The following is a 10,564-nucleotide window of genomic DNA, read 5'->3' as shown; positions in this document are numbered from 1 at the left end:
AGGAGATTAACATTTGAGTCAGTGGGCTGGGAAAGGCAGGCCCACCCTTAATCTGGGTGGGCACAATCTAATCAGCTGCCAGCAGGGCTAGAATATAAGCAGACAGAAAAACGTGAAAAGAGAGACTGGCCTAGCCTCCCAGCCTACATCTTTCTCCCGTGCTGGATGCTTTCTGCCCTCGAACATCAGACTAGAAGTTCTTCGGTTTTGGAACTCGGACTGGCTCTCCTTGCTCCTCAGCCAGCAGAAGGCCTATTGTGGGACCTTGTGATCGTGTGAGTTAATACTTACTAAACTCTCCTTTATATATATATTAGTTCTTTCCCTCTAGAGAACCCTGACTAATACAAACCTGGGTCCCAGTCCTGTCTCTTCAGCCTTCTAAGTGAGAGCTTCCACCTTCTCGGTGAGTTCTTACAAGGACAAAGTGAGACTGCACATATAAAAGGGTTTTGTAAACTGTAAAGCAACATGCACACCAGGGTGGGGCGAGGGACTGTGATTTTCCTATAGGCCTCCCTGCTCCAGAACAGTCCATCTTATCCTAGAGTTGAAGTGATGGAAGTCCTTCCTGTGGACAGCCCTGGGAAAGCAGGTAAGCGCTTCTGTGACCAAGAAAGTTGTAACGACAGTGGAGTCCAGCATGTGTGTGGGTGTGTCTGTCCTCTTTAAATTGCTACCGCTGAGAGTCCCAGGCCCCAGCCACGTCAGCCTGAGATGGGGTTCTCCACTGGGGATCCCACCCACTCAAGCTCTGCTGGCCCCTTCTCCAGCAAACTCTAGAGGAGAACTCACTCCCTTTGGGGGAGACAGGCTGAAGCATAAGCTGACCCAGGTCAGAGAGCAGATCTCCAAACCACAGCCGCTCCCATGCTCTGGGGAAGCTGGGAGTTGACTGCAGAAGACTCCAGGTCTGGGACTCTGATCTTCCTGGGGGCAGTAGCCCAAGCTGCTGGGCTGGCTTAGGGTCCATCTCTGCCAACCTTCCTCCCCCTGGAGCACCAGGACCCACCTGCAGGCAGGCCTATCCCATCTGCACTCAGCAGGGGAAGCTGTCCTCTGCCCTTCCAACAGCAGAACCTGGCACTCAGGCCAAACCCTGCTCACAGTGCAGGTGTGGGGCAAAATGAGGTCTCTTAAGTGCTGATGGGCAAATGGCCTGGGTCCCATCCTGAAGTGGAATCCCCAACGGAATACAATGGATGGAGCTTCCCATGCCTGGTGGTGACTCACTGTCTCCACATTACACATACCTATTTATACACAAACACACCACAAGTGTGCCCATGTGACATTGCCCACCCCACACACACCCAAACACAGACACAGCCTATACATCACACCTCCTGAGTTACAAAAGGCACAACCCTCCTCAAACACACATCCATCCTCCGGCACACACCCAGTCCATGCCTCGCCCCCACACACACCTGACACCCCAGTGCAACACCACACCCACCCTCCCCTCCCTGCAAACTCCCACCTCCGCCCACCTGCTTAATACACATTCTCACCCCCCACACACTCCTTAATACATACTCTCACACCCACAAGCCTGCCTTCTTGGAGAAGTGAGCCGAGCCGTGCAGCGCCGCGAAGGGGTAAGTTGCAAGCACTGGGGGCAGCCTGTTCTGGGAGGTGAGAAGGAGGGCGGCTCCGTGCACTCACTCGCTAGGCGGTGGCGTTAGAGCTCCCGGGGCTCCGCAGACCGATTTAGCTCGGCTGGGGAGGGAGGTGGAGATGGGGACTGGGGGTGGGGGACGCAGGAGAGGGTAGAATCCAGCCCCACAAGCGGCGGCGATGCTAATCAGGCCGCTAAGATGGAAAAGGTAAATTCTGGCGCCCAGCAGCCCAGCGCTTTTGGAGAGAAGGAAGAGGAAACAAAAGGGGTGGGGGTGGGGGAGCGGGGAGGCGGCTGATTTATGCCTGCACTTCAGCAAATATTTTCGCTGCCATTAGCATCCCCGAAGACCGGGAGGAACGCCGCGGGGACCTGTGGCTTAGCGCGCTCCGCCCGGGCTTGTCTGCCCGCGGGGGCGCAGCGGCTGAGGCGGCTCCGGGCCGGAGTTCCAATCAAGCGCCACCCAACTCCCAGTCGGGGGCCGAGGCCAGCGCCGGGATGCCAGCTTCCCCCAAAAAGATCCTGCCTCAGGGAAATGCATGGAGCCGGCGGAAAAGCCCGCGGCGCCCCCGGCGGATCGCAGACCCTAAGGGGGCGGGAGGTGGCGCCCCAGTCCCAACCTCTTGAGCCAACCCAGTGGGTGGGAAGTGCCCTTACCCTAGGCCTTCCGCAAAGTGTTCTCTCCTTGTATTATTCTAATTACGGTATTTTTAATTTCCTTAAAAAAATAAGAAACAGAAAAGCACAGAACGCACTTGTTTGGTTTCATTTTGCCTTCACAGCTTTAATGACTCTATTTGTGGAAGCTGTTTAGGAAACTGGTGAGGAGGAGAAGGAGGAGGACGCCAAGAGAAGCGCCAGCTCTGGCCTGAGCGCCGGCTTTCTCCTCCCTACCCTCTGGGGGCCATCTGCCCAGGCAGCAGTTTCCCTGGGCCCAGGCTCCCACCCCCAAGTCCCAGCCTATGACCCAGCCCCCTCTGCCCTTTCCTGAAGGCGGCAGTGGCCTCCAAACTGTCTCCTTTCCACCCAACCCCAACTCTGAGGGTCAAAAGACGGGCTGCCTGCAGGCCCTGGGGGAGGGAGGTACCAGCACTGTCTATTCAGAATCACTAACCTGGTCCGAGAGCACTTGGAATGGAAATGATCCATCTCCCCCCAGCCCATCCCCAAAGTCTTAGGCAGCCCACAAACCTCCTTAGAAAACCTCTGTGGCTCAGGGAATGGGGCGTAGGAGGCAGACCTCGTCTTAAGCCTGACACCCAGGAAAAGGGTCACTAGACCTGCGGTCCAGGAGAAACTCAACAACAAAGGTGGGGGAGGGCACTGGCTCCTAAAGCTTTGAATATAAGTAAAAAGTAAAAACATATTCTGTCCCCAACTCTACAAATGGGTGCAGAGCTATAAAATGCTAATGTTTATTTGGCCATGCAGCCCAAGGGAGCTTGGCTTGTGACCTGTCTCCCTTCCCCAGGTCAGGGCAGTTGCTCAGGAGGCCAATGCTGGGGGTTGGGGGAGCCACCTTTGGGCACTTGCCTGGTCTCAGAGCTTCACTCCTGACCTTTGGCTCTGCCCTGTTCCCCCTCTCCTGGAACACCTCTTCACCCTTCCAACTCTCAACCTCTTTCCTCCATCCTGCCATGAGTTCCAGTCTAAAGCAGCCATCAAAGCGATCTTATCTTTAGCTGCCTGCCTTAAGTGGTGCCTCAATTTCAGAGTCTCAAGCCCACACCCATGATGGTGGGTCTCCAGCCCAGATGGAATGAAGGAGCTAGAAGCACTAGATTGAGGTTGTGAGGCCTCAGTTCAAGTCCTGGCGCTACCGGTGAGTCCCAGTGTGACCTTGGGCAAGTTGGCCTGTCCCAAAGTGTCAACAGTTAAATAAATGGATTGGAAAAGAGGGGAACTGTTTTATCCTACAGAATTCCCTGTTTGTGGGGGAGGGGAGAGAGGTGGAGGAGAGAGATTACAGGAGAAATTCCTCCCCTGCAGTGGTACTTTCACTTTAATGAGAAAACCCATTAAGACACTTGATTTTCCATTTGTTTAAGTGAGATGGGTGTTTGCTACAGTGAGTGCAGAGGGAGACAAGGACAGGCTATCATTGTGTGTGCACAGGCGCATGCACGCGAGCACACACACACACACACACACACACACACACACACACCAAGCAGAGACACTACAAAAACTCTGATTTTAATTGCACCTTAAAAAGAAGTATTATCTTGACACCTCGACTCCTTCTCAACCATCCCAGCCAGAGGCCATGGAAAGGCTCATTAAAAGCTCCAGGAAGGGCTGAAAGGTGGGGTGGGAGGAGATTTCCAGGGCCAACCAGAGCTTTTGAAGTGGCCTTTTCTGGCTAGTCACTTGCTGACATTACCTTCTAAGGGTCTGGGGTTTTATGGTTCCAGTTTTGATTTCTCCAGCATCAGACTTTACAGCTTAAAAATATTCTCAGTGCTGTAAAGGGAGCTCATTCCCATATTCACCAGGGATGGGGTGGGGTGGGGAAAAGGAGAGAGAGGTGCCTGCCACTTGAGGGGAGCTTGGACACCCCCAGTAAAGATCCCTCTTTGCAGAGAGAGCCTCGCCTGCCTCAGTCTGTTATGAGTCTCATGGCAGAGGGGTGGGTGGATAAGAATAGGAGGGAGGGTCTGCTGGGCTTGAATCAGTCTGGCTATTGGACAGGAGCCCTTCACATGTCTTCAATCTGTGGCCAAGTGAAGGCAAGATTTGGAGAAAGCCAACACTCTGGCCTTGATTTTCCCCATCAGTGAAATGGAGCTTGTGAAGGATCCAATGGAAAAACCCAAAGAACATTCTGAAAGAATGATGCTCTGTGCCTGTGGCATTAGAGAAAAACAAGATTGTGTGGGAGGAAGGGACATGTTCTCCCTCCTGAAGGCAGGTTTCTAAGGGCCACACATTCTGGGCAATGAGAAGGCTGCAGGCCGACCCCACCAGTTGGCCCCTCTCCAGGCTGGTGGGCAGGCAGCTACTGCCGCACTAAGTAATGAGCACAATTCCAACACCGCTTCTGCTCGCTGGTGAGAAATCAAAGCCGGGTATTAGAGGCCATTTCTGACTGGGCACCATTCGTGCCCAAATCCATCAAAGCCCTGGGCCTGGGGTTTCTTCTGGGGAAGGTGGGGGCTGGATGCTTTGTTAAGCAGGAAATGCAGGCCACCCCCAGCCTTCTTGGCCAAGCCCACCCACCCAGAGAACTATAGGCCAACCAGTCTTGTCTTTCTCCTACAGCAGCCCCTCATTCCTGGTAACCTAAGTATTTATTCCTGATCCCACTGTCCTGCTGGTACAAAAGCAGCTTCCCAAGACACAACCCTGCCCATGTGCCATTTACAGAGACTTCACCCTACCCTTCAATCATCTCCTCAAACCCCCTCCAACCAGAAACCAGCACCCCAACCAAGCACCTCCCACGTCTAACTGCACCCTTTAAAACAAGGTTGGACATTCAGCAGCCTGCCTTCCCCATCCCCATCATTACCTTCCAACTTCAAAACACTGCTTTAAATACCAGAGTCTGCCCAAATCATAATTAACTTGGATCAAATGGTTGAGTGTTGTAACTCTACTGCACAGGACTTGCACCAGAAAAAAAAAAAAAAGTGGGGAATGTGCTAAAGCCAAGCCCTCACTCCTGGCCGTGGGAATCACTAATTCCAGAATGAGGAATCTTTGGCTATGGAGGGGGGAAGGGCGGATGTCAACTTCGCAGCAGGAGGTAGGAGGTGGGGAGGGCTGCGTCATCTCGTCCACTTTCTGCTCCAGTTTTCCTGCTCCATTCTCAGCCTCAACTCAGAGAGGACTCCGTGCAGGAGGCCCCGTCCCCACCTGGCTCCGGAGCCGAGCCGCCCGGCAGCCGTGGCCAGCCCACTTGCTTGGGTTCGGGTACCAGAGAGAGGCTGGCTCCATTCAGTCCACAGCCTCCCCGAGAAGACGCAGCCCAGCCAGCGACGCCGGGTCCAGCTACAGGACGAGCGAGAAACGTATTCATCCACGGCGAGAGAGGAGGGTTAGGGACTTTATTTCGGAGCCCACCAGTTCGCTGAAGTCATCTTGGTGGGTCCAGAGCGGGCGCTGTACCAAGGAGAGCGCACCTAGTCTGTTCCCCGGACAGCGAGAATGTCAGTGACCAATTTAAAAGGAAACTCCGCAGGATCGCTAAGAACCCCTACCCGCATCCAACACACACACACACACACACACACACACACACACTCTCCAACACTCAGAAAATTAATAATAATAATAATAATAATAATAATAATAATTCTTCCAGACCTGCGGGCCCAGCGATCTCGGGGAAAGCTATGTGTGCAAGACTTAGCCCTCCCCGCTTCAGGAGCCCTGCAAGCCGGCCTGCCGAGGCTACCGAAGCGCTTCCTGTGTTCAGCAGGTCTTTTCGCTCTCTCCCTCTAGTCTGCAGATTGCTGTCCCTATAGCGCGTAAGAGCCTAGGCGAGCCGGGACCAGACTAGTAAGTTACCGGCGTACGGCAGCGAGCGCACACCTTGCTTATGTAGCCAATGTTCTTTTTCGGGGCGGATGCCAGGCGCGCGGAGAGCCGGGCGTCCCCAGGAGGCGGATCCTCCCGGAGACTCAGACCCTGACTCCTACACCCCTTCCAGGGAGAAGAAGGGATCCCTTTCAGGAGCGAGCAGGGACCTTTCAGCTTACTGTGAAGCCCCTTCCCTGCTCCCCGCTCCCGCGATGTGGATGCGCCATTGCCCACTTTGGGAGGCAGTAAAATCTACATTCTAACTTGGGCGCCCTTGCCGCTTTTCCTGCGCGCATCGATGCGACGAAAGACCACCTCAACTTCAGGACAGAGTGAGGCGCAAGGGTCCCCTAGCCCCGCGCCCCCAGACCCGATCGCTTCCTACCTGCTTGGCTCAGCCTCGGGTCCCAGCAGAGCAGCAGTGCCAGCAGCAGCGCGCCCCGAGCTCCGCTCCGGGCCCCCATGCTCCCGCGGCCTGGTTCGGGCGCCTCTCCCCCAGGGCTGTCTCCCTGGCCCCAGTCTCGCCGCCGCCGTCTCCGCCGCCGCCGCCTCCTCCTCGCCGTCCTCCCCGGCGCCCGGCAGCGCCAGCCCGTGCCTTCCGTGGGGGCAGCGGAAGCCACGCTGCGCGGAGGGCCGCCTGGCACTCGGAGCGCGGTGGGTGCCTGGCGCCGGCTCTCGAACGAGGCTCCGGCGCGCCCCTCTGGCTCCGGGTCTCTGAGCGCTCGCCTGGCTCCGGCGCTGTGCCTCCGAAGTTGCGCGACCGCTCAGTGGCGCTCGCAGCGGCGGCGCCGCGCAGTCCCAGCCCCAGTGCGCGCCTCTCGGAGCCCCGCGGCTGCGTGCGGCTCCGGCGCCCTAGCCGGCCCCAGCCGCCTGCCACAATGCCGAGCGCCGCCGCTCGCTCGCCGGAGTGAGTTCGCCAACCGAGGGGACCGCGCGCGGCCGGGGCGGGGCCTGGGCGACCGAGGGCGGAGCCGACAGGGGGACCTTGAGGGGGGATCCGACGGCCATCTGGGCGCGGCCGCGGCAGAGCTGGGGGACCCGGGGGGAGGGTCCTCGCGAGACGCTGGGCGCAGCGTTTTGAAAAACCCGGCCGCTGGAGAATGGCTGGACGTGGAGGCGGCCCAATTTTCGCTCCCCCAAATTAAGGAAATCTGGCTTTGCGCCTTCATTTGGCTTGGCCATGTCAGCTTTCTCCTCTGATTAAACATAGGACTCTCACTTTTGGCTCCCCTGTCTGTAGTATGCGCTCTGCCTTCCACATGTGGGGGTCTTTCCAAAAAAAAGGCTCCCAAAATGAGAACACCCAAGTCCTGGTTACGCGGGGGCTTACAGCGATATGAAGCTGGGTATAGATTAGGATCATCCTGGCTGGCTCTGCTTGTCTGTATGATCTCCGGCAGAACTGTTAACCAGACCCCTGGAAACCCCTCCAGCACTCTGATCCTGCGTTGTTGTAAACTAGCCTCCTACCTGACAGTGGGACAGCCATTTTTGGCTCAGTGTAAACTTGGACTCTGCCCCTTATTTACTGTGTGACCTTGAACAAGTTACTTAACAATTCTATTGCTCCCTTCATCATCATCTGTAAAATGGAGGAAAAGGATAACTATTTCATAAGGGGGTATAGAATTAAATTTTAAAACTTGTGTGGAAATTGCAGTGCAAGTGTCAATAATCTCTTTCCAAGATTCTCCCCTCCCAGCCAGTCTGATTCCAGGGGGAAAGTCCTGACCACCCAAAGGTGGTCCAAGGAGCACGTGGGGACAGGTGAGGTTTGAAGGATGGGCAGTGTCTTGGGATTGAAACCCAGAGAGATCAGAACGAGCGGATCAGCTAACATAGGCAAAGACCTTCCCTGTGCCAGGCACAGGGCTAAGCACTCTGTATGCATCATGTCAGTTAATTCTCACAACCCTCTGAAGTAAGCACCATTTACATCCCATTTTACAGATGAAGGACCTGAGGCACAGAGGTGTAAAGCCACCTGCCGGAGATCACACTGCTTGGAGTGACTGAGTGACTGAGCAAAGGGGATGGGGGAGATGGGATTGGAAAGAAACCCTCTAAACGGGGGAGCCTCACTTGAACACCTTCCCTGGGGCTGGATTGGGCTGTGCGAAGGGGACTGTCCTAGCTGTTTCCCCAGAGGTGAGGTGAAGGCAGGACTAGTACCCTCTCCACACACACTCCCCTCACAAGCCGGGGTCTTGGAGTATCTAGGGGAGGTCGTGCATGCCATCAGCACATCTCCCTAACCCTCTCTGACTGGGCACCCAGCATCAGGAGGGTGGCAACAGGTGGACTGGGACTCCCTGGGGGAAGAACTTCCATCAATTGAGAAAGGCTGCTGTGGGCAAAGGTAGGTTGCTTAGCTTGGCCTCTGACAGCCCTAGCAAGGGCAGTGGATGAGACAGTCAACAGCTCAGCACACCCAAACCAACTCCACCTTGCAAATACACATGCACACACACAACTACCCACCCATACACACCTGCAAAGGTACACACACGAAAACATACAACAAAGACAACAGGTGCAATGTTTCACCTCCCATAAACATCACACCTACAAATAGGCACCCGACTCCAGAGACACCCACATACCAAAGATGTATGCCTAAAAAAAGCAAACACACAGGCGCACACAACTAAAAACACAAATAGGCAGATGACTCCCAAGACAAATAGATATTTGGATACTTAACTACTGCCAGGAAACACATACAGGCACGCCTGTGCCAAGACCCACATCTGACGGTCATCCCCTGGATGCAGGCACATGGTCAAGGTTGTGCCTGTGCTGGAGAGCTCAGCAGGGACCTCAGCAGAGACGGGCAGCATGCAGAGACCACAGCATGTTCTCTCTCTCTCCCCAACCTCTTTCTCTCTCTCCTTCAGGCCAGTGGGGTATTGGAGATTTTTCTAAAAAGTTCCACCCCTTGGAACTTTGCTGTTTAGGTGGTAAAGTGTACCCAGCAGGCCCTTCTAGTCCAAGTATCAGGTTTCACGGCTTTAATTCCTGGGTGGAGAGAAGGGGGACTGGAGATGGGGGCAAGCAAAAGGAAGACATTACCCCCTCTCCTGCCAGTCCCTGCCCCACTTCCCTTCTCAGCCTAACCACTCTCTCAACTCTTGAAATATACTCTTGGGAGGTCCCGGGCCCTGCTCTCCCTCCAGGACTCCAGCATCAGGGCATGGGATTTTGCATGTTGGGAATCTCTCTGTAACTGCTCTGTGCCCCTGCTCCTGTACCAAGTCTCTGAGCCTTCTCTAGCCACCTGCAGCTGAGCAGTTGCAGATGTGGTTCCTCTCCAGCCCTGGCATCTCAAGAGTGCAGGCTGTCAGTTGAGGCCAGGCAAGGGGCTTCAGAGGGAGTCAGACTCCCCCTGAGCCATACCTTTCCCCGGGATGGGTGAAGAATGGGCAGGGTCCCTGCCTGGGGGATGACACATTAGGATAGCAGGATTAAGATTTGCCAGGGTGTTCCCAAACCGAGTGCCATGGGCCTCACAGCAAAGGCATCCTGCTGGGAGTTAAGCATGAGGACGAAGCAGTGAGTTGCTTGAAGTCAGGTGCCCTGTGTTCCCTGTTCCCCATGATATATCTAGCACTGAAGACAGTTTCTGGCATAGCAGGGATGCAATCAACCTTGGTTGAGTGGGTACATCAATAAGGCTGGGGGGAAAGGGGTTGATGGTCAAAGGGCCTAAGAGTTGCTATGTGAGCCCCACCCTCCCCTCCCCTCTATTTCCTGGGGTCTGGGGGTTCTGAGGCTGAAAGTAGGGCAGGCTTTGTGGCATAGATCTGCTTTGAAATCAGTCCCAGAGCCAGTTCTCACCCTTGGTGGGGACTGCAGATGCTTCCAGCGGCTACCATCACTTGTCTCAAACCACAGGAGTGTGTAGGAAAGAGTTCTGGATCTGGAGGGCTGTGGCCCTAAACCTGGGGGCTGCTCTTACCTGCTGGCGGATCTTAAGCCAGTTACTGAAACTTTCCCAGCGTCAGTTTCCTCAACTGTAAAACAGGAATAATAATTACTTCACAGTATTAAGAAGAATAATAAGGCCAATAATCTGGCTGTATAAAAACCGCCTATTTGATAACAATTACGATTTAAAAGCAGCTGTAGGGGCTCCCGGCAGGAGTGGCTGCCGGCTTGGGGTTGACGCCTCCCGCTCCGTCGGGACCGTGTGCGCGAAGGTGCCACCAGGCGGCGCGCTGCCGCTTACGCCTCCCCGTGGCCGCCAGTCTCCCTCCTCCGGCGATGGGAGAATTGTCCTGGCCCCACCCCGCCTGGGGCCGCCCTGACAGAGTCCTTGTCCCGGGTTGTCAGGGGAAGTGGCACTCAGACGACTCCGTTTGCAGGATCTTGAGTGGGAAGGCTTGGGAATGAGTTCACGGTGCCTCCCCTGAGTCGTTC

At 55.4% G+C, this 10,564-nt stretch overlaps 1 protein-coding gene and 1 long non-coding RNA gene across 3 annotated transcripts in view, besides 5 other annotated features; one reads left to right on the top strand and one right to left on the bottom strand.

Annotated features, from left to right (window-relative positions):
* Window positions 1-7,025, bottom strand: part of UNC5B (unc-5 netrin receptor B) — a 90,295-nt gene extending 83,270 nt beyond the window's left edge. For both annotated transcript variants that reach the window (NM_170744.5, NM_001244889.2), the window contains exon 1: window positions 6,531-7,025. In NM_170744.5, the coding sequence (NP_734465.2) occupies window positions 6,531-6,609 (79 nt within the window). In that variant the 5' untranslated portion in view covers window positions 6,610-7,025. The remainder of the gene's footprint in view (window positions 1-6,530) is intronic.
* Window positions 1,367-2,371, top strand: UNC5B-AS1 (UNC5B antisense RNA 1). The gene is made up of 2 exons (NR_038453.1): window positions 1,367-1,601; window positions 1,960-2,371. It is a non-coding gene; the product is annotated as an UNC5B antisense RNA 1 (long non-coding RNA).
* Window positions 3,379-3,998: an enhancer, noted in NCBI's record as "NANOG hESC enhancer chr10:72975354-72975973 (GRCh37/hg19 assembly coordinates)". NCBI's record gives its function as "activates a minimal SCP1, AML or CMV promoter by ChIP-STARR-seq in naive and primed H9 embryonic stem cells {active_cell/tissue: H9 hESC(naive and primed)}" and the evidence as "EXISTENCE:reporter gene assay evidence [ECO:0000049][PMID:30033119]".
* Window positions 6,865-7,124: a silencer, noted in NCBI's record as "silent region_2460". NCBI's record gives its function as "represses an Ori minimal core promoter by ATAC-STARR-seq in GM12878 lymphoblastoid cells {active_cell/tissue: GM12878}" and the evidence as "EXISTENCE:reporter gene assay evidence [ECO:0000049][PMID:35858748]".
* Window positions 6,865-7,263: a biological region, named in NCBI's record as "Sharpr-MPRA regulatory region 4082".
* Window positions 6,969-7,263: an enhancer, noted in NCBI's record as "tiled region #4082; K562 Activating DNase matched - State 4:PromP". NCBI's record gives its function as "activates a minimal TATA promoter and a strong SV40 promoter by Sharpr-MPRA in K562 cells {active_cell/tissue: K562}" and the evidence as "EXISTENCE:reporter gene assay evidence [ECO:0000049][PMID:27701403]".
* Window positions 10,265-10,324: a silencer, noted in NCBI's record as "silent region_2459". NCBI's record gives its function as "represses an Ori minimal core promoter by ATAC-STARR-seq in GM12878 lymphoblastoid cells {active_cell/tissue: GM12878}" and the evidence as "EXISTENCE:reporter gene assay evidence [ECO:0000049][PMID:35858748]".

Source organism: Homo sapiens, chromosome 10, assembly GCF_000001405.40.
Source record: "Homo sapiens chromosome 10, GRCh38.p14 Primary Assembly".
NCBI classification, from domain to species: Eukaryota; Metazoa; Chordata; class Mammalia; order Primates; family Hominidae; genus Homo; species Homo sapiens.
The sequence above is the reverse complement of the archived record's forward strand: the minus strand, read 5'-3'. Positions and strand labels throughout refer to the sequence as shown.